The sequence below is a fragment of the Homo sapiens genome, chromosome 6, assembly GCF_000001405.40.
Source record: "Homo sapiens chromosome 6, GRCh38.p14 Primary Assembly".
NCBI classification, from domain to species: Eukaryota; Metazoa; Chordata; class Mammalia; order Primates; family Hominidae; genus Homo; species Homo sapiens.
In genome coordinates, this window is record NC_000006.12 from 155,982,599 (window position 1) to 156,006,930 (window position 24,332).

The following is a 24,332-nucleotide window of genomic DNA, read 5'->3' on the forward strand; positions in this document are numbered from 1 at the left end:
ATCTAGCAAATAAGGACACCAAGTTACATTCAAATTTCAGATGAACCAAAAATAATTGCCTTAATAAATATAATAAATATGGCCTGCGCAATACTTGGGGCGCACTTATACTACAATGATAACTGGTTTATCTGAAATTCATATTTAACCGAGCATCCTGTTTGTTACTGTCAACTCTATCTAGATAGCTAGTTAATTCACTAGTCATTAAGTAGTTTATGGCAAAACCAGCTCAATATTAGTGAGATGTTACAAAAAGAAGTGAATGGCAAGGAATTGCAGAAACAAAGGAGAAAAGTAAGATCAATTATAGTTGTAGATGCCAAGAACAGGAAGGGGTAGACATCAGCCTCAGAGTTGTGAATGCGAAGTCAAAACCAGAACCCAGAAAAGCACACAGAGAGCAGGCAATGTGTATCAAGAAGTGGATGCTTCACCCTAAAGCTTGTCAGAGGATCTTCTTGTCATGGGTTTTCTTTGAGGTTCCAGGGCTTTCCACCCTGATTCTTAGCAATTTCACCTTCCTTCTCCTCCTAACAGAAAACAGACACCTTGAAATTTAGATAGAGTTACCCCAACAAGTAAGCTTTTATTTATTTATTTTTTTACATTTTTTAAATTATACTTTAAGTTCTAGGGTACATGTGCACAACGTGCAGGTTTGTTACATATATATACATGTGCCATGTTGGTGTGCTGCACCCATTAACTCGTCATTTACACGAACAGAGAACACAACAAGTAAGCTTTTATAAGACCTACTGGGCAGGTAGTCTTTCTTGATATGGATAGACTAGGCTGCCATCTATGCACGGAGTCAATAAATATATACCGAATGCTTACTATGTGTCAGGAAGTGTTCTGTGTGCCTTATATGTTCATCTAGTGTATTTTAGAAGTAGCTCTTACATCAAATTCACTAGGATTGAATGTTAAGAATGCAAATTCCTGGACTCCATGCCAGCTGTGAAAACCTCTAAGGGAATCTGGGAATCTTCACTTTCATAAATGCTTCAGAGGATTCCTAAATTTTTAGAATCACTGATGTACCAACTGTTTAGTACAAGCAGGTATGTCAGTACCTTTGACTTATGAGAAATACGTAAGAGAAAAAACAAAATGCAGATAATGGTATCTGCGAAATTAAATGTGCATAGGCTGGTACCAGGTGACAATAAAGGACTTGCCCAAGCCTTTTGGCTAGTAAATGTCTGAGATGGAACTCATGTACAAGATTCCCATTTCAAAGTATGGCTCTTACTTCCCTACATTCCAGACCCTATACCTCAAAATGAGTGTATCTGTCACACGTGTGCATTTGTGAGCGCACATCTGCTGTGTGTGTGTGCACGCGTGCACCACCTTGGCACCATGCCTTTCTAAGGACTTAGTGAAGACCACTGTGATGAGGCCACACTGTGACAGTGGGCTTCAACCCTGCCAGAAGAAAGGGACAGACACTCATCCTTATGGCTTAGGAAGGTCAATAGGCACTGATTCTTTATTCTCAGTCTTCTGTAAGTTTGATTCAATGCTGAAATGTACCTTTATTTCTAAGGCTCATGAGACTTAGCTGCCAAAAGAAGGTGCTCTTGATTCACAGAGAGAAACTGTGCTCTGAAGAGTGCATGTCACAATACTGTCCTGACACACCTGCCATAGCACACAGAAGTGAATCACACTGCATTCAATAGCACCTGCATTGGGAGATGCTTAAAGCCCTTAGTTGGCGACCTGGCTCAACCCTGCCATATCTCTGTGAAATAAAAAGAAGGGAGATGGATTTATTCCCATTTTACAGGTAGAAAAAGTAAAGGAGAGAAACCAATGGTAATTTTTTTTCCAAGGCACTAGAGGTCAAAATTAGATAAAAACTGAGAACAAACATCCGCTCTTTTGCTTCCCCCAATAGGTTACATGGAATTATTTTCTCATTTCTATCTATCTCCTTCCTACATGGAATACATTGCAACCTCCTTCCTAACTGTCCCACTTCAGCTCCCAAATCGAGGATGGCAGAAGACAGAAGTTTGCAAAGAAAAGGTTCAGAAGGAAGTTAGAATAAAGAACATTCTAATGGCGAGTCAGTGCTCTGTGACTTTCATGGGCCAAGGATAAACAGAACCTAGGATTCGACTAATCTCAATAGTAACCTAACCAAAGAAACACCTCAGGTATCATCTGTTTCTTTCTTTCTTTTTTCTTTTCTTTTTTTTTTTTTTTTGAGACGGAGTCTCGCTCTGTTGCCAGGCTAGAGTGCAGTGACACGATCTCGACTTACTACAACCTCCACCTCCTGGGTTCAAGCAATTCTCCTGCCTCAGCCTCCCAAGTAGCTGGGACTACAGGCGTGCACCACCACACCCAGCTAATTCTTGTATTTTTAGTAGAGACAGGGTTTCACCATGTTGGCCAGGATTGTCTCGATCTCCTGACCTGGTGATCTGCCCGCCTCGGCCTCCCAAAGTTCTGGGATTACAGGCATGAGCCACCGTGCCTCGTCTCATCTGATTCATTTTACAGAAGAGGAAACAGAGACTCAGAGGTAGGGGATGAGCTTGAGATACAGGAGATGAAAGCAGCAGGGCCTGGAGGACAAAGCCCCCTTCTTGGCCCCAGCTCCAGAGCTCCTACCGCTGGAATGAACTTTACCAGTGGGGTCTGGGGAGAGCTGTCAGGTTTGAAGGTCTTTCTCTCATTTCTCTCTCTGTTATATGGATATGATGCCTCTTTTATAAAAGAACATATGCCCCCACCCCAAAAACTTTTCGGGACCCAATGTGTGTTCCTTTTAAACTCCAAAATTCAAGTCCAAGAGCTACAAAAAAGTTAAAGTATAAGGGGTATAGCTGAACAGGAACATGAAACATAACATATCAGATAAGCTTAGATTATTATAAACCTAGATTATTATAGTTTCTTCAGGTTTTTTATAAGTAGAGTTTTTTTTAACTCATAAGAAATATTCATATATATATATATATATATATATATATATATATAGACACTCCCTTATAATAAACACAGAAGCACACTGTTCCCAGAATCTTTGGCTTGGCTGAAATATGATGATATTCTTAGTTCTTCATATGGGGGGTGGAAAAAGCCTCTGAGCGCTCCAGGCTTTTTATAGCTCTGGCTCATGGGCGGCTTTTGCTGCAGTAGCAGCCCTGGATAGCAAAGGAGCCAAATAATGCTAATGGGGCAAACAGAATGTAATTGCTTATGTGTGCTGGTTATATCCTGAAACAAATTGTTTCTTAATGCTGAGGTCAGACAGGGTTTAATTAGGAGAAATACAATTGGTGTAAAATTCTGCAGCAGGCTGCTTGTTTGGTGTCATGCCAAGTCAACATCTAGTCTCTCCAAATGGAAATTTTCATTAGAGGCCATTGGCAGCCCTAGTTAGGCTGAGTTTCAACTTTTCCAAGTCTCCTGGTAATGTAAACCTGAAACTCAGCATATCTCCTGCCTAATAAAGGGTTGTCCTCCTTGCATTTATAAGCACTTGAACATGTGCACGCTGTCTTTCTCTGTTACTCACATACCCTGCCGTCCCAGTCACCCCACTAGCAAAACACATTTCCCACGGGAACTGGGTGAACTCAAACAGTTTTCCTCTTTCCTTCACCATTTTCCCTCCTTCCCTGTTCCCACGTTAATAATAATCTTCAATCAACATATTATTACTTCAAAAATATTTTCCTACACATCAATTCATCTAATCTTACCGCTAAACCTGAAAGGTGAATGGTTTTATATTTGTAGGTAGGAGGCCCAGCACAGGTCATGTCTATGACTGGCTAAGAGTGAGTCTCAGACCTCTTGGTTTTGAGCCCTGGGCTTAGGCTAACCCACAGAACTCGGGGTTCACACATGCTGAGACATCCACATTTGCTCATGGAAATGAACAGGCACAAAATGATCTCTGTTTATTCTTTTCTTTATGCTTCATTTTATGTGCTATCTATGAAGAAGTAAGAGTGCAAGGTGTTATTATTCAAACTGCACAAATTTCCCCAAGACTTTGCAAACACTCTTGATGAGATGTGACCCTTTCTTTTGTGTCTCTCTTTTGAGACATGTCTTTTCATACACTCCAAGATCTCAGTGGATGCCTGCAGCAGTAATACTGCTATTTACATTAATTTTAAGAGCCTAGATCTTCACACCTTCAAGGATAAGGTTTTATCAGTGTTTCTAATATAAATCTTATGTCTCAAAAGTTGTTTAATTTATTTGGAAAATTCTGCTTCTAGGCTTCTATTGTTTCTCTCTCTTTCTCTCTCTTTTCCTTTCAGCTGAAGGCAGTTTTCATTACAGTGACAAAGACCCCACTATGTTAAAGAAAATTGCACAGAGAGACCCCAAAAATCCATCTACCCAACAGAAATCTAAGTCATTTTCCCCTGCAGTATCATATCAGCAGTAACCGTCATGGGTTTAAAGACATATGGGACCAAGTTTTCATTTTGATATGTGATTCTGCTTTGCCGAGGCCCAGGCTCCTTGTGAGCTGAGCCACATTTCATTTAGGTGCTGGGCCTCTGAGCCTATGATAATGTGCCCAGTTAGTGTCAAGGTAAAGGTCCGTACAGCACAAGCAATTACTAAGCGATCCCTCCTCCTCAGCCCTGCTGAGCCAGGAGGCCATGGGAGATGCCTTTGACAGGGGAGCCTTCTTAGCTGCCCAGGACTCTGTTCCAGGGTATGTTCCTTTTGAGACCGGGAGTTACTGGAATTCTTGTACCATGCAATGTCGAATGCAGATTTCTCACTCATCTCTATTCCCACAGGCTGACATCCCACTGAAGCTACCTTTGGCTTTAAACCACAGATGCCTCTCTTCTACAACAAGCTTATACCAGAGATTAAAAGCACATGTACCCTAAAACTTAAAGTATAATCATAAAATAAAATAAAATAAAAAGAAAAAAAACACTGTTAAGTTTGCTTTCTACACAATTTAAATTTTCAGTATTTAAAAATTTTCCTATGTTACTATTGTATAGTTAAGTCTTCCATAACACTAGTTCTGAAATTGTGCATTTGTTCCAGTGCAATGGATACACCAGGGAACAATTCAAGCATAACGTGAATTTTGCATTTGCTGATGTTCAATTTTGTCCCTGAGAACAGCAAACTGCATGCAGCTGAACTGAACTGCATAGAAATACACATGCCCACAACTCCACCATCTATCAGCCACTCTGGCTTACAGTGTGTGTGATTCCACAAGCCTATGTTTTTTATTTTATTCTACTTTAGGTTCCAGGATACATGTGCAGAACATGCAGGTTTGTTACATAGGTATACATGTGCCATGATTGCTTGCTGCACCTGTTAATTCATAATCTAGGTTTTAAGCCCTGCATACATTAGGTATTTGTCCTAATGCTGTCCCCCTCACATCCCCAAACTTCCAACAGGCCCCGGTGTGTGCTGTTCCCTTCCCTGTGTCCATGCGTTCTCGCTGTTAGACTCCTGCTTACGTTCTGTAATTCTCTCATGTTTGTGAGCTTTTTCATGAAAACAAAACACAAAAGCAAAGCAGAACAAAAAATACACACTCATTGAGCATCCTAAACACTCTGTGTGTCCTGGCTCAAAATGCCAAGCCGTGCCTGCAAAAAAGAAAGCACTATCTGTATTCGAAGATCTTTCATAGAAATTGCCAAGTCCAAAAGTGGCCCTTTTGATGTCAGTAGTGGCTGTTTAGTGGTTTCAAAAACATTGCTACGATTTCAAATCCATGAAGGAATTTCCAGCAGTGTTCCAGAAGTTAATTAAAGAAGAAGGCTATAAGCTGCATCACATTCCTAGTTTTGATGAAACAGATATCCCTTTAAATGCATACCTTGAAGGACTTTCATCTCAATGGCAGAAAAATATGCCCCAGAATTTCAGCACGCAAAAGATGGCTCTACTCTGATGTTCAGTACCAAGACTGAACCAAGAACAATGAACCACACCCATCCACATCTGCTTCTACAACTTTCCACCTAATTTCAGAGAGCCCTCCTTCGACCACTTCACAATAACTCAACACAGTGCAGTTCTTCCAAAGCCTGATTCCACAAGCTAACTTCCAGTTTTGTTTTGTTTTTTTCTGGGCAAAGGGCTGTATTTATTGTATTTATGTATTCCATAAGCATGAAACATGTATGAAACTGTACTTTTATTTTTGACGTATCACTGAAAAAGGTTTTGAGTATTATGCCCCAACCCTACTTTCTCCATAAGCCTTGTGGATTTTACTGTGCAATTTTTTATGGCACAATGATTTTTTGGGGATACATATGTCTGTTATAGCAGAACTGACTACACTTGATTCTTATCTCGGCGTTGCCGTGGTCTTCCAGTATTTCAAATATGATGATGGGTTAGAGATTTCACATCTAGCATGCCCAGAACAAAATTCCTGATTATTTTCCCATAGTTTTCTTCACCCACAGTCCTTACCAGGTGCGTGAATAGGTGGCTCCATCTTTTCATTGACTCTGTCTAAAAACCCAGCAGTTATCCTTAACTCTTCTCTTTGTCTTACCCCACATTCTGATGGCTCTGTCTTCAGAATGTATCAATTTTTCAAGATCCTACTGCTCCCAAGTCACTGGGTTACTCTAACAGCCTCTAAACATGTCTCCTTTCTTGCCTTTTGCCTGACCCACTTTCTTCATTCACATCTATTCTAAACCCAAGAGCCAAAGTGCTCTTTTTAAGCCGTAAGTCACATCATGCCACTTCTCCACAGCACTCCAGTGGCTTCCCATCCAACTCCAGGTGAGAGCCGGAGGTGCACCGAACCTGCATAGCCCACCTGCCCCAACCCACCTGAGTTTCCTCCCCAGAATCTCCTTCTATCCCTCTTCCTCTGGTTCACACCACCCCAGCTGCCCTGCCTGCCACCTGTCCTCCCTCACACATGGCAGACACATTCTTTCTTCACAGTTTTTGCTCTGGCTGTCCCCCTGCTGAAATGGGATTCACCAAGGCGTCTACATGGCTGGCTCAATCTCTTATTCCCAGTTTTTGCTCAAATGTCTTCTCAGCACTTTTTTTTTTTTTTTTTTTTTTTGAGACGGAGTCTGCTCTGTCGCCCAGGCTAGAGTGCAGTGGCGCAATCTCGGCTTACTGCAAACTCCGCCTCCCGGGTTCACGCCCTTCTCCTGCCTCAGCCTCCCGAGTAGCTGGGACTACAGGCGCCCGCCACCGCGCCCAGCTAATTTTTTTGTATTTTTAGTAGAGACGGGGTTTCACCGTGTTAGCCAGGATGGTCTCGATCTCCTGACCTCGTGATCTGCCTCGGCCTCCCAAAGTGCTGGGATTACAGGCATGAACTACCGCGCCCGGCCTCAGCACCTTCTTTAAACTTGAACCAAGTATTGCCAGTCCCCTTCCCTGTTATATTTTTCTCAATAGAATTATGATTTTTATCTTCTTACATTTGTTTCTTGTTTTGTTACCCCCCCTCCTCCGCCTCCCTCCATTGGACTATGTCTCCTAAACACAGGGATTTTTGTCAGTTCTAGAAGCTGCATCCCCAGCTTCTAGAGCAATGCTTGGCATGTAGTGTATGCACAATAAATATTGGTTGAATAAATAAAATAAGGGATTGGTCTCTTTGTGTGAGGTAAAACAGAGGAATAAGGAGGACCAATGACCAGAAGTTACAAAGAGGCTCAATCTAAGAAATAATAATTCAATCATCCAGTGTGTTTCACAAGACTGGAAAAAACTAGAGAGCTTTCTAGTTCCCTGTTATTCAAAGCGTTTAAAGGGTGAGGGCACAGTTCCACCGCACCATGAATAGGTGGTGTGGACACTGGGTTGGTGCATCATATTGCACCCAAGCATAAACAAGGTCTTAGGTCTCTTTGTGCAATGAAAGTCTTTTATTATTATTATTATTATTATTATTATTATTATTATACTTTAAGTTCTGTGTGTGATTCCACAAGCCTATGTTTTTTATTTTATTTTAAGTTCTGGGATAATGTGCAGAAGGTTCAGGTTTGTTACATAGGTATACATGTGCCATGGTGGTTTGCTGCACCTATCAACCCATCATCTAGGTTTTAAGCCCCACATTCATTAGGTATTTGTCCTAATGCTCTCCCTCCCCTTGCCCCCCACCCCCTGACAGGCCCCCGTATATAATGTTCCCTCCCTGTGTCCATGTCTTCTCATTATTCAACTCTCACTTATGAGTGAGAACATGCAGTGTTTGGTTTTCTGTTCCTGTGTTAGTCTGCTGAGAATGATGGTTTCCAGCTTCATCCATGTCCCTGCAAAGGACATGAACCCATTCTTTTTTATGGATGCATAGTATTCCATGGTGTATATGTGCCACATTTTCCTTATCCAGTCTATCATTGATAGGCATTTGGGTTCGTTCCAAGTCTTTGCTATTGTAAATAGTGCTGCAGTAAACATACATGTGTATGTGTCTTTATAGTAGCATGATTTATAATCCTTTGGGTATATACCCGGCAATGGGATTTCTGGGTCAAATGGTATTTCTGGTTCTAGATCCTTGAGGGATCGCCACACTGTCTTCCACAATGGTTGAACTAATTTACACATGCACCAACAGTGTAAAAGCGTTCCTATTTCTCCACATCCTCGCCAGCATATGTGGTTTCCAGACCTTTTAATGATCACCATTTTAACTGGAGTGAGATGTATCTCATTGTGGTTTTGATTTGCATTTCTCTAATGACCAGTGATGATAATAAGCTTTTTTTTCATGTTTGTTGGCCGCATAGATGTCTTCTTTTGAGAAGTATCTGTTCATATCCTTCATCCACTTTTTGATGGGGTCATTTCTTTTTTTTCTTGAAGTTTCTCATAGATTCTGGATATTAGACCTCTGTCAGATGGGTAGATTGCAAAAATTTTCTCCGATTCTGTAGGTTGCCTGTTCACTCTGATGATAGTTTCCTTTGCTGTGCAGAAGCTCTTTAGTTTAATTAGATTGCACTTGTCAATTTTGGCTTTTGTTGCAATTGCTTTTGTTGTTTTAATCATGAAGTATTTGCCCATGCCTATGTCCTGAATGGTACTGCCTAGTTTTTCTTCTAGGATTTTTATGGTTTTAGGTCTTCTTTAATCCATCTTGAGTTAATTTTTGTATAAGGTGCAAGGAAGGGGTCCAGTTTCAGTTTCCTGCATATGGCTAGCCAGTTTTCCCAGCACCATTTATTAAATAGGGGATCCTTTCCCCATGGAACGGAAGTCTTTTATTCCTGTTTGTGTTGAATTTCCCACTATTTCCTTTCATTCCTTAGAAAAGGCTAATAGCTACTTTCTTATAACTATTTAGTAGTATAGGAAAGTGATTATGTTATAATAAAAAATATACTGTACCACATAGGAGTTACAAATAATACACTTATAGACTGCCTGTCCCATCTGCCTCCAAGGCCTATGGGAAGCATCAGATAGGATGCTTACGAAAGCACTTTGAAAAAGTAACTCTAGAAACACAGCATAGACATGGCAACAAAAAAATTATGTTCAATGTTCAATATATTTTTTGGACTATAAAACTTCTTTACAGTAATACCATAAAATGAGACTTCATCTACATTAAGGCATAATTATGAAATTTTTCATACCAAAACCGGGGTGGAAAAAGATGGTATTTACTGAAAGAGAATGCTCATTGTGTTCCCTGGGATGAGGAAAATTTTGGATGGTAATTTGTTGCTGTTACCATAAATAACATCTCAGTTGACTTAATGCCCTTCAATATAAGATTAATAATAATATAATATCAATATCAATCTGGATAAACTTTACCAAGATTTGCAAACTTACTTCTATCAGGGAAGGCGCTCAAAGAAAGGAACTAAAAATGGGTACTTGGGAGTACTGGGAATTTTCAACCTCACTTTGTAAATCTTCTAAGACGGTACCGGTCCATGATCTCACCATCTGTTAGGAACTGGGCCGAACAGCAGGAGGTGAGCAGTGGGCCTGTGAGCATTAACACCTGAGCTCCGCCTCCTGTCGGATCAGTGGCAGCATTAGATTCTCCTAGGAGGGCGAACCCTGTTGTGAACTGTGCATGCGAGGGATCCAGGTTGCGTGCTCCATATGAGAATCTAAGTAATGCCTGACGATCTGATGTGGAACAGTTTTATCCTGAAATTATTCCCCACTCCTACCACCCCCACACACCCTCGTCCATGGAAAAATCGTCTTCCATGAAACCAGTACCTGGTGCCAAAAAGGCTGGGGGCCACCGTTCTAAGATACAGAAAACTAACTGTATGTCAGTGTGCGGGTTGTTCAATAACCAGCCTGTGCACAGAGCTGGCTGCTGTACTCTTTCCTGGGAAAGGAAATTCACTTCCCTTGTAAAGATGACACTGAACTAATGAGTGAGGGTTGTTGTCATGGCATTGTTAGTTATCAGCCAGCATGGACAAGCCAGCTGCCTTTGGCATATTTAGCTGAACATGGAGAAAAGCAAGAAGGGCTTTTGCTCCTATGTGAAGCAGAAGATGGTGAGCTGCTGGATGCATTTGGAGCTAGGCCCTGAGAACAGCCTGGTAGTCCTCTGTGGACCAGGGTATAAGGAATGAATGTGCTTCCTTCTAAAGCCTTGCACAGAGTGATGGTTTTTCGGGACTGAGAAAATCACAAGGAAGCCTGGGTGAGCGATGGAGCTCTGAGACTCCTCCTATTTGCATGCAGTTCAGGAAAGGAAGAAGCTGTTTAAAGGCAAAGATTTTAGCTGCACTGGGAGCTTTGGCCTTTTCAGTGGAGAGACCCAAGAGACTGCCTGTCAAAACAGAAGTCTCTTACTAAAACTCCCTAAGTGCGAAGGCCTGGGCAGTCAAGAGGGGCTGGGACGGGAGAAGGGGGGCCATGAAGGAAAGGCAAACCCACCACAGCCATGGAGTCCGGGTGACATGCAGACAGAGGGAAGGGGGAGCAGGACACAGGGGGAGGAACTTAAAAAAAAAACAAAAAGCAGACAACCGGCTGTGTGTTTCCAAGCAGATTTCCCCCTGGACAGCAAGCTGTAGCGATGCGTATTTTTTTAAATTCATTAATTCCATTTTACAAATAAGAAAGTGAGTTTATTTGCATTTTCCCTAATTACATCTTCCCTGTTCCCTGTCCTTTCCGATTCTCTCCGTGGTGATTCCCACTGCGAGATTGGCTTGGCAGGGCTGCGCTGAGCAACTGTAGGGTATTCTGCTGTTTCTTTGCTCTCTTTCCTTTTTAAAAATCGAGTCAAAGCCCCTTTCTTTCAGTAATCCCCGATGTTCCCTCAGGAGCTGAGTTAAGATTTAATTGTGAAATTTGCCTAGTAACTCAGCAAATAAATTCTCCCATCTCTCATAGACCTTCCACTGCAGAGGGCCATTTTAGTTATAAATCACTTACTTCTCCGTTCCCAACTGCATCAGCATTTTGTGCCCCTGAGCAAAGTGGAAAGGGGAAAATATCCAAGGACACACCGAATTGGCGTTTGGCTTTCGTGTCTCGTGAAGGGCAGGGTAGAGGTAGAGGCTGGATGAGGGAGTGACTGGCAAACACCGTCTTTCCACCTGCTGCTTCTTTAAGGAAAACCCATGTGGGAATGACCTGGGCCTCCGACCCACACCCAGGAAACCACACACTCCTGATCCCCTTTCAGCATGTGTCATGCTAGGAAATCCAAAGAAGGAAGCTGAAACTGCACCCAGGCGTGACGGTTCCCATTTTCTCCACCTAAGTAACACTCTGAAGTTGCCCACAGCCTAGGCAATCACAGTAAAACATGGTGGGAATGAATTTGGCAAGCAATAGTCTAAGGAGGGTTGTATTCCTATGGCAATATCAAGGCTGCAAAGGAGAATGTGTCCCCGGTCTAGTCCAAGTCCACCTGGAGGCTTGGGTTCCATCTGGGACTGAATCTAGAAAGATTTGTGAGTTTTTTTTCTTCCTTCTTTTCCCAGGCTGAAAATATTCTCAATTCTGGACTCTTCCAAAATATTGTAAATATGATTGTTTGGGCCAATTCAAATTAAAAATTTTACCAGAGCCCAGAAAACTTTTCCTATGATATCTTTGCATGTTTTATCTTAATGTCCAAACTAGAGCCCCCTTTCTATCATGAGTCAAACCTGAGTGTGGCTTAGATTACACAGGACAGTCACAGCACGTTGCATAGCTGAGATGAAAGAAAGAAAGAAAGAAAAAAGAAAGAAAGAAAGAAAGAAAGAAAGAAAGAAAGAAAGAAAGAGAAAGAAAGAAAGAAAAGAAAGGAAAGGAAGGAAGGAAGGAAGGAAGGAAGGAAGGAAGGAAGGAAGGAAGGAAGGAAGAAAGAAAGGAGTATCAGAAAAACCAAGGAACAATACAAGGAAGTCTTAAGAAAGGGGGAAGAAGTGTATTTGAGTAGTCATTCTGGATATCCAATATCTCTGCCTAGAAATAACAAAATGTGAGTGATACTGAGCATAGGCCACTCTTGGACCTGTGTAGCATCCCGTGGTCCCTTAAAACTTTCCAGTCTCCAAGAAGGAACCCTACCTGACGACAAATTGCTGATTTGGATTATCAGAGGTTAAACTGCTAATGAACCAAAGTTTGATAATCTCATTTTAAAGAATGTTGCTACTCTTTAAGAAAAAAATTGACAAAGAACAAATAAGGAATTTTATGCAGATAAATTGCATTCACCTAAAAATTTGAAGATTGCTGATCAAACGCAAGCCCTGTAGTCATATTTCTTTCAAACAACTGATTTCAGTTCTTTATTTATTCTGTAGCTGATCAAAACATGGTGCCCTAATTTTTAAGTTATGCTTGTCAGCCCCAGGAGATTAATGAAAATTTGAATTCCATAGATGAATCAGCAAGTCAGCATGTCTCGCAGATGCGTATCTCCCCACTGGCATACACCAAGTGGTCCTCCGATGTAAGACTTCCCTTTTTTCTCCTTTCCTACATCTCCAGTGTGAGTCAATGAAAGATTCTAGGATTGAATTGAAACTGCCTTTTTCTCCTGATTCTATAACTAAATCAATAATATTTCCAGGAAAATGTTATCACAAGAAATCATAATGAATATAATATAGCTAGCTAGAAAAACGATGCCTATTTGAAACCAACACCAGGCGTATGAGTGAAATACTAGTAATGTTTATTCAAATCAGGAATAAGAAAAGGTGTCTATTCTAGCCTGTCGGTCATTATTGTTTTGGAAGTACTGGCTAATGTAATGAAACAGAAGAAAGCATCAAATAAACATAAGCATTAATAATAGGAGATATCATTTATAAGTTATATGACTATATGCCTAGAAAATCCAAAATAATAACTAAAATTAGTAAGAATTATTGTTAAGCTAACAGGAAAGTATGATATGTTTTAAAAGCATTCTACTCTAACAATATAAGTAAAAATATGGACAAGTACAAAGAAATAGAAGAAGGTTAGAACAGCAGAGAAAGCTTTCTTGGAAAGCCCTGGAGAGTCTCACAATTCCAAAACTCAGGAACAGGAGTTAGAAATAGGACATAAAACCTAAACACAGGAAGATTAATTGAAAGACTATACAACAGTGACTTTTCTTGCCCCTTACCCCAATTCTGGCAAGAGGAATCTCTGACAACCAGGCATTGAATGCCACTATCCCTCCATAAATGGATGGATCTTTATAAATAAGAAGAATGCTTGGATGTTGGTTGCAAAACAAATACATCCTCATGTCAGTGGTCTCAAAGCTTAATCACCACTTCCCCATTTCATCTAAAGCTGCTAGTCCACAACCCTTGCCCATGTACAAGACAGACAAAGACTGAAGTCAACTTTACAAATGCTTGATCCGGGACAGGGGCAGGTAACTTGAGAAAGGGTGGAACTTGAAAGAGAAAGAAAAGATAGCAACATAGAACATAGGATGAAGGAAAAAATAAAAGAAAAAGAAGTGTTGAGAGGAACAATAGCCTCTCATCAGTACCCTCAAAGAAATTAAGATGATCTTAATTTACAAAACAAAAAAAAATAGGAAGAGAAAAAAATATGATGGGAAAACGAGAAAGATCTGGCAGGGCTCATGCCTGTAATCCCAGCACTTTGGGAGGCTAGGCAGGCGGATCACTTGAGCTCAGGAGTTCGAGACCAGCCTAGGCAGCATGGTTTGGGCAACCAAACCCCATCTCTACCAAGAAATACAAAAATTAGCCAGGCGTGTTGGTGCGTGTCTGTAATCCCAGCTACTTGGGAAGCTGAGGTGGGAGAATTGCTTGAACTGGGGAGGCGGAGGTTGCAGTGAGCTGAGATCACACCATTGCACTCCAGCCTGGGCAAGACAGCCAGACCCTGTCTCAAAAAAATAAAAAGAAACAAAGAATCTCATATGATGGTTAAAAGATAAAAGCATCCTCACACAAAATAAAAAACAAAATGAACGCATCTGAGGTAAAAAACAAGTAACAGAGTTGATCCCTGCAAGAGGTAAAATAGCCAAGAGGAATTTCAGAATGAGAACAGAGAAAGCAAAAAGGAAGACACTGAAGAAGTGATACAGTAAAGGTTTCTCAGACCTGTAGAAAGACTGAGTCTCCGGGGTGAAAGCGTTCTCTGAGAACCCCAGCAGAATGAATTCCAACACCCACACAGTCTCGTCAGAACACCAAAAGTGAAGACACCATTTCAGTAGCTTCCAGGGGAAAAAAGCAGGTCACAGAAATGGGAATTAGACCAGTATCTGTTGTCTCATTGGGAATACTCTATACAAGAATATAATGGAGCTTAGGCTATTATGCTCTAAAAGGAATTGTAATTAACACCAAATTCTATGCCAGGCAACCACGCCCCTACCCTGGTAGAGGACTGAAGAGACACTCTTGGAAAGGGTTTGGAACCAAGTATTCTCTGGACTCAGGGACACCAGACAACTCTTGGGCCCGGACTGGGGGACATCTCAGAAATGAGGTTTCAGTGAAAGCCTGCACACCAACAATAAGAATCCCAGACCCTTCTCCAGTTGGCTCCCAGGATACTGGTAGAGAAGTTTATATTTTGCAGGCAGAAGATGGAAGGTTTTCTCTCCAAGGGAAATGATGAGCCCAAGAAGAAAAAGACACTGGAGGGAAGCTGCAACATGAAAGTAAGAGAGACACCAAACAACTTGAAAGGAAATTTGCCATAAAGACATAATCAATACAGAGAGGGGGGAAAATACTTCCGAAATAGTCTTAGTGAGATAAGAGAACATTAATCCTTAAAACAAGAACAGGAAACTATAAAAATAATATTCAGTAAGAAAAATATTTTATACATTAAATTATGATGGCAGAAAATTCAAAAACATATGAATGGAAGCTATGAAAAATAAGCTTAGTAAATCTCTCAGAAAGTAGAATAAGAAGGTAGAGATGGCCAACATTAAAGGACATGAAATTAGAAAATCAACCCAGAGTGCTCAATGTCTAAATATTAGGACTTCTGAAAGGACAGAGAAAAAAGGGGAAATTTAATAAAGGCACTTGGATATTGATTTCTACCCTGAGAAATACCATCAAGCATCCATCCCATTAAATTAAAAGATGCCTTCACATGTTTATATAATTTTGACATTATTTTTGAAATACACACCAGGGAAAAAAAAAAGAGTCCTAGAAATGTCCGGGGAAAAAATAAACAGCCCATATGCAAAGAGACCTGGAATAGAAGTAGTAACTGACTTTTCCAAAGCAACCGTGGAAGCTGGACGACAATAAAAAAATTCCTTCAGGGATCTATGGAAAATTATTTCTAACCTAGAATTTTAATTCAGCCAAATTATTAATGGAGTGTGAGGGTAGCATAAAAATATTTTCAGTTGGTACAAATATATTCATGGGATCTTAGTATGCTTCTAAAGGCTGTGCTTCACCAAATATGAAATAAACCAAAAGAGAAGAAGACACAAGATTCAGTGAAAAATTGCACTCGCAATTTCCTGGAGGAAGGCCCAAGGAGGACTCAGGAGGACCACTGCACATCAGGCCCCGAGACCCAGTGGTCTGCACTGGGACAGAATGACTTTCTGAGGGAAACAACTGAAGAGATAGATTTGCCGATGTATTGAGAAGACTTTACACTTGCATGCATAGTTTGTTGATTAATGAGAAGCTTACAGAAAAATAAATGAAACAATATGTCAAAGTAGAGGAAATAGGTATTAATAATTCCAAGGGAAGCAGAAATTTACCAGGAATTTTGACTCTTTGTGAGTCAATGGTGAAAAATGTTTTACGTGAACTCTGATCAATTCTATGGCCAAAGTCTTGAGTTTTGATTCCATCAGAATTCTGTGAAATATGGAGATTTGTATAGAAGGGGAGTCAATCCCTGGAAATTGCATACGTTTCAAGTATTGGAAGACAGTCTCGGCATTCAGGAAGCTAGCTGGCCCTTTGTCAGAAACAGAGAAGACAGCCATTTATGCTAGAAGAGTGGCAGGACCAACTAAACACATGTGCCTCTAATTTGTAAACTGAGTGTCTATAAATTAAGAATGTTTTAAATCTGTTTTAACAGGCATCTTCTCAAGTATCCTGGATCACCTTTTTTGTTTGTTTTTTTAGGCAGGTACTCATTCCGTCACCCAGGCTGGAGTGCAGTGGTGCAATCATGGCTCACTGCAGCCTGACCTCCTAGGCTCAAGCAGATCCTTCTACCTCAGCTTCCTGAGTAGCTGAGACCACAGGTGCATGCCAAACACACCCAGCTAATTTTTGTATTTCTTGTAAAGATGGAGTTTCCCTGTGTTGCCCAGGCTGGTCTTGAACTCCTGAGCTCAAGCAATCCCCAACCTTCTGCCTCAACCTCCCAAAGTGCTGAGATCACACGCATGAGCCAATGCACCATGATCACTCTTCATAAAATCGCAATCTCCTTCATTCCCCACACCTTTTATTCAGCTTATATTTTGTTTATTTAATATCACCACCTGAGACAGGCTGCATTTTGTTTATTCATAGTTTGTGTTCCTCCACCTAGATTAGAATGTAAACAACAGGCTATCAGAGACTTTGCTTTCATTCATGGTTGAATGGCTGACACCTAAAGTAGTACGTAGAACAAATTAGTTACTCAATAAATACCTGTTAATTAAAGAACATAAAATTCCATTCTACATTAGACATTTTTATTGTTTAAGAGGTTGACATTTATTTATTTTAGGTTTTTCTCCAGCTTTATTGAGGTATAATTGACAAATCAAAATTGTGTCTATTTAAAATGTACAATGTGATTACTTGATATATGTACACACTTTGGAACAATTACCACAATCAAGTTAATTAACACGTCCATCACCTCACATAGTTACCACTTTTTTGTGTGATGAAAACAACAAATATCTACTTTTTAAAGTAAATTTCAAGTATAAAATACAATTTTATTCATTATAGTCACCATGCTGTACTCTAAATCCCAGAACTTATTTATCTTATAACTAAAAGTTTGTATACTTTAACTAACATCTCTCTGTTTCCCCCAACCCCAGCCCCTGGCAACCATCATTCTACTCTCTGCTTCTGTGAGTTCCACTCTTTCAGAGTCCACATATAGTGAGATCATAACAATACTTGTCTTTCTGTGTTCAGTTTATTTCGCTTAGTATAATGTCCTCCAGGTTCACTCATGTTGTCACAAATGGCAGGGCTCCCCTCTCATTTATCATGGTTCAATAAGATTCCATTGTATACGTGTGTGGGGGTGGGGGGTACCACATTTTCTTTATTCATCTGTCCACGGACACTTAGGCCATTTCTGTATCTTGGCTATTGAGCATAATGCTGCAATGAACATGGGGTGTAGATATCTCTTCAAGACACTGATTACATTTCTTCTGGATATATACCCACAAGTGGTATTGTTGGATCATATGGTACTTCTATTTTTAATTTTTTGAGAAACCTCCATACTGTTTGTTTTTGTTTTTGAGACAGAATCTCACTCTGTCACCCAGGCTGCAGTGCAGTGGTGCAATCTCAGCTCACTGCAATCTCTGCCTCCCGGGTTCAAGCGATTCTTCTGCCTCAGTCTCCCAAGTAGATAGGACAACAGGCGTTCACCACCACACCCAGGTATTTTTTTGTATTTTTAGTATAGATGGGGTTTCACCATGTTGGCCAGCCTGGTCTCGAACTCCTGACCTCAAGTGATCCTCCCACCTCAGCCTCCATACTGTTTTCAAAAGCTGCTGCACCATTTTACATTTCTACCAACAATGTACTAGGGTTCCCTTTTCTCCACACCCTCACTAACAATTGTTATCTCTTGCCTTTTTTATCATAACCATCCTGACATGTATGAGATGATACATACCTCACTGTGGTTTTGATTTGCATTTTCCTAATGATTAGTGATATTGAGCACATTTTCATACATCTCTTGGGCGTTTGTATGTCTTCTTTGGAAAAAATGTCTATTTAGGTCCTTTGTCCATTATTTAATGAGTTATGTGTGTTTTTTGCTATTGAGTTGTAAGTTCCTTACATATTTTGGATATCAACTCCTTATCAGATATATGGTTTATATATTTTGTCTCTCATTTAGTAGGTTTTCTTTTGATTTTGTTGTTTGTTTTCCTGTGCAGAAGCTTTTTAGTTTGATGTAGTACCACTTATTTAATTTTTGCTTTTGTTGCCTGTGCTTTTTGTGTCATATCCAAAAAATAATTACTAAGACCAATGTCAAGGAGCTTTTTTCTTATGTTTTATTCTAGGAGGTTTATGCTTTCTGGTCTTACAGTCTTTTGCCCATTTCATTTTTGTGTATGGTGTAAGATAAGAGTCCAGTTAAATTATTTTTCCATGTGGATATCCAGTTTTCCCAATACTAATTGAAGGATTGTGCTTTCCCCATTGTGTATTCTTGGCATTCTTGTCAAAGATTAGTTGACTGTGTATGTGTGAGTTTATGTCTGAGCTCTCTACTATGTTCTACTGGTCTTTGTGCCTGTTTTCATATCAGTACCATACTGTTTACTATACTTCATAATGTAGTTTGAAACCAGGAAATGAAATGTCTTCAACTTTATTCTTTTTTCCTCAAAATTTATTGGGTTATTTATGGCCTTTTGTGATTTCATACAAATTTTAGAACTATTTTTTTATTTCTATGAAAATGTTATTGAAATTTTTATAAGGATTGTATTAAATCTGTATATGTGGGTAGTATAGGCATTTAAACAATATTAATTCTTCCAATCCATAGACAATGGATAGCTTTTCATTTGTGTGTGTCTTCTTCAATTTCTTTCAGCAATGTCATAGTTTTCAGCACACAGGTCTTTCACCTCCTTTGTTAAATTTATTCCCAAGTATTTTATTGTTGTTGATGATATTGTAAATAGGATTCTTAAAGTTTTTTTCAATACTTAATTGTTAGTGTATAGAAACAACTAATTTTTGTATGTTGATTTTGTATCCTGAAACTTTACTCAATTCATTTATTAGTTCTAAGAGGTTTTTGGTGGACTTTTTAAGGGTTTCTATATAAAAGATCATGTCATCTGAAAACAGAGACAATTTAACTTCTTTCTTTATGATTTTAATGCCTTCTATTTCTTTTTTCTTGCCTATCACTCTGGCTACTACTACGCTGAATAGACATTGTAAGAGTCAACACCCTTGTCTTGCTCCCAATCTTGGAGGAAAAGCTTTTAGCTTTCCACTATTGAGTGTAATGTCAGCTGTGGTCTTGTTATATGTGGTTTCATTATGTTGAGGTACATTCCTTCTATACTGACTTTGTTGAGAGTTTTTATCAGGGAAAGATGTTGAATTTCATTGAATGCATTTTCTGCATCTATTGAGATGATCATATGAATTGTTATCCTTCATTCTGTTAATGTAGTGTATCACATGTACTGACTTCCTTGTTAAACCATCTTTACATCCAGGAATAAATCCCCCTTGATCATAGTGTATTATATTTTTAATGTGATGTTGAATTTGGTATTTTGTTGAAGATGTTTGGATCTCTGTTTATCAAGGATTTTGGCCTATAATTTTCTTTCCCTGTGGTGTCCTTATCTGACTTGGGTATGAGAGTAATGCTGGCCCCATAAAATGAGTTTGGAAGTGTTCCCTTCTCTTCAGTTTTCTGAAAAAGTCTGAGAAGGATTGGTGTTAATTATTATTTACATACTTGGTGGAATTTACCTGTAAAATTATCTGGTCCTAGGCTTTTCTTCACTGGGAGGTTTTTGATTACCAATTAAATCTCCATACTCATTATTGTTCAGATTATCTATGTCTTCATGATTCAGACTTGGTAGATTGTATGTTTCTAGGAAATTATTTATTTTTTCTGGGTTATCCAATTTGTTCACATATAATTTTTCATAGTAGTTTCTTATGATCCTTTGTACTTCTGTGTTATCCATTGTAATGTCTCCTCTTTCATTTCTTATTTTATTTATTTGAATCTTCTCTTTTTCTTAGTCTGTGTAAGGGTTTGTCAATTTTGTTTAGCTTTAAAAAAACTAACTTAAGTTTTGCTGATGTTTTCTTTTCTTTTTTTTCTTTTTTTCTTTTTTTCTTTTGACAGGGTCTCACTCTGTCACCCAGCTGGAGTGCAGTGGCATGATCACAACTCACTGTCGCTCAACTTCAAGCAATCTTCCCACCTCATCCTTCCAAGTAACTGGGACTACAGGCATGCATCACCACACCTGGATAATTAAAAAAATTTTTTTCTACAGATCTCACTATGTTGCCCAGGCTGGTCCCAAACTCCTTGGCTGAGGCAATCCACCCACTTTGGCCTCCCAAAGCATTAGGATTATAGGCATGAGCCACTATGGCCAGCCTTGCTGATCTTTTCTATCGTATTTGTAATTTGTATTTATTTATTTATTTATTTTTGCTCTAATCTTTATTATTTCCTTCCTTCTGCTAGCTTTGGGCTTAGCTTTTCCTAGTTACTTGAGGTGTAAAGCTAGTTGTCTATTTGAGATCTTTCTTTTTCCTTAATGTAGACATTTATTGTTTTAAACTTCCATCTTAGAACTGCTTTGGCTGCATCCCATAAGTTTTCTGTATTGTGTTTCCATTTTTATTTGTCTCAAAATATATCTTTATTTTCCTTTTGACTTTTTCTATAACCCATTGATTGTTCAGGAATATGTTGTTTAATGTCTACATATTTGTAAATTTTTCTATTCTCCCATTGATTTTTAGTTTCATATCATTGAGATCAGCAAAGATTCTTAATATGATTTCCATCTTCTCAAACTTTTTAAGACTTATTTGTGGTCTAACATATCTACATCCAGGAATAAATCCCCCTTGATCATAGTGTATTATATTTTTAATGTGATGTTGAATTTGGTATTTTGTTGAAGATGTTTGGATCTCTGTTTATCTACTTCATAAATTATTACATAAAATTCCCAATTTTTGTTTCAATATTACTTTTTTTTTGCTTCTAAAGCCAGAAGAAGAAATGTAAAATGCAATTTGACATACTTTAACTGAACAGCCCTATGGCCTGGAAAAAAAACATAACTTCAAAATCTCATAGGACTTTACCGTCATGAGATGTCTACCTTTCTAACCAAAACAATTCCATGTGTAGACATTTAAAAATTATGCCAAGACTCTACTTGAAACTATAAATCTCTTTTGAATGGGAGTTATTTAGTAAATTATGTCAAAGAGCAAAAAAATTAAGAACAAGAATTATCTGCATCTTTGTATGTAAGACTTTTATGTTCAACAGTATTTACTAAATTTATAAGACCTTAGTTTTTGCTTCACGAACCAAACTAAGAAAACAAACAAAATAATTTTGATGAAAACATCTTGGACTGATGTTGTGGAAAAGGTAAAATCCAAAATAGCACAAATCTGCTCAGCTAACTAATGTAGCACGAGGCCTACTTACATAATTCTTGGGGAGGGCAATTCTTTTTGAAGTAATTTTCACCCCCAGACCACAGGATAAATTAAGAGTAGAAAGGCTGGGTCAGAACACATGCAAATTCGGGGTACACATTTGATTATGAACATGAGATTGGTTGACTTAAACAATTTTGGTTTAATATTTCACTAATTAGGTAGGGGACAGTTCTGATTGTGATGAGATTGTCCCACTCCATATCAGATTTCCTAGGAGACACATTAATTAAAGCAATTCTCCTTCCTCATGAACTAAAACTTTACGGAGACTAAGTGTACCTCCCCCACCCTCATCCTGTCACACACTCAACTCTGTGTCCCTCTCTTGAGAAAAAGAGTGACAGCAAAAAAATAAAATCAAATAAATAAGAGGCAGAAATAGCATTGCAACCTTGGCAAGCTTGTCTGAATATTTTTAGAAAATTCCAAACAGCACAGATACAATAAATCACCAATGGCTCAGAAAGACATGACGTGACAGATCTTGCTATAACCACAGAGAAGGAAATACCATCAAACAAAAACTTTCTAAATGTAAATGTACAAAACTGCATGCAAATGCATGAGCCAAAGAATCATATGATAAACAGGTAGAAGAAGGATTAAAACTAGATATGTATCATCCCTTACATATCTCCTCGGGCCATCATTCAAAATAAGGTGCTCTAGCATATCTCTATGAAGAATAGTCACAAAAATTAAATAAATCCATATGATGATGGGACTGGGCATCTCATGTAGATTATGGCACAGGACCCATGATGTGTCTGCTGTTATCAAACTCCCTACATCATGGGAAAGACCATAGAATCAGGGCACAGCAGGAAGAAACTATTCCATCTTCTCCATCACTTCCCTGCTTTTCTACCATGACCATCAACAGGCTCAAAAAAGTCCACTGACACACCTGAGATGTTGGAATGTGACACATGGAGAGGGTGCAGTGAGGTAGGAAGAGCACAGAAACTGGAATGACATCAGTGGACGCTTGCATGGCATTCCTGTGACTTCTTTCTGTAATTTCCTAAGCAGTTTCTGGCCATACTTCCTCATCTTTAAAATGCAAATAATAATGTAGACTTTGCAGGTTGTTGAGCCAAGGAGACAATGAAAATTTCTCAAAACAGGGCTCACAATGGTAGCTATTTACCACCAGTAGCCAAATCCAAAGAGCACCCTTCCCACAGTCCCCTGATCCACTCAGTCTGCTTGGCATGCACTAGGAATGAAGGAGTACAGAGAATAAACATAAAAAAGGAGGTCAAAACTCTATATATAGCTATTAAGCAATCTAAAATGAATATCTTTGTGTTCAGTTAGCAAATATTTATTGTCTATTATATGCCAAAAATAATCTCTATTTATCAGACTCCTAACCTTATCTAACAAGACTATCATAAAAGATAGGTGATGATTTGCTGGATTGGTCACAATTTGAATTAGTTAGAAGTATTTATTAACTGTATATATTAGATTGATGTCCATTTCGTTGCATATTTAGAGAGAGAGATAAAGGAGGAGGAGGGGGAAGAGAAAAAGAGAGAGAGAGAAAGAGAGAGAGGAGGTGACCTGTATGTTTAGGGATTTTGAAGCAAAGGCAGCCACAGTTATTAATCTCTAATATGTATCCCCGAGTCCCTAAGAACATATGTGATTATAAAAATGAACATGCAGAAGGCTGTGATAGTCATAAGGGAATGAAGAATGGTAAGGCTCAGATAAGGACCTCCAAAAAAATCCTTTCATTGGAAATTGCACTCAAAAGCAAAGAAATAAAGTGGTACTAAGGCCTCACCATCTAGTTTGCAGAATTGAGACTTGTAGAGATTTTACTGACCATCTCCATTATTTGTCTAGTAATTTTCTCTTAAACTTTATTATTCTGGCATGAATTTTGGATTGTTCCAATTCTAGAACTGTCAAGGAATAGCAGCACACTCACAACAAACACCCTTCGAAGAAAACCCAGGAAGACCCATGCAATAGATTCCTGGGACTCAACTTAGAAGGCATGGTGGTACTCTTCACTATTTGTCTGCAGTGATTTGTGGAATAAATCTCTCACTTTTCCTAACCCTACTTTCTTTTGTTATTAAAATAAAAGTAATTATTCTCATGCACTTGCCTCAGAGAAAGCCGTGAGCACATACTTAGCAATTTTATAAGGAAGCTTTAATAGATCAGGAGGAATAAAGATGGGTGGATGGATGAGAGCACAGCATTGGCTGTTACTGCTGCCCCATCCACTAGAGACTAGAATATTAAACAGTCCAGTCACAGCCTGCTGCTAAACCTGTAGGCTCTGAGAAGAGAGACACATATCAACTCATTAATGTTCTGTAGTGAAACCAGAATAAGAATTCAGAGCCACCACACAAAGCTGACAAGAGAGAGGAGAACTGGTCTTACCAGCAATGTCGTTGGGGC

General features: G+C 39.2%; 2 long non-coding RNA genes across 2 annotated transcripts in view; one reads left to right on the plus strand and one right to left on the minus strand.

The window, feature by feature from the left end:
* The window catches only part of LOC101928923 (uncharacterized), a 487,547-nt gene that overhangs the window by 173,874 nt on the left and 289,341 nt on the right, over positions 1–24,332 (minus strand). The gene's annotated exons all lie outside the window — the stretch shown is intronic.
* LOC124901442 (uncharacterized) lies at positions 15,026–23,979 on the plus strand. The gene is made up of 2 exons (XR_007059827.1): positions 15,026–15,115; positions 23,820–23,979. It is a non-coding gene; the product is annotated as an uncharacterized LOC124901442 (long non-coding RNA).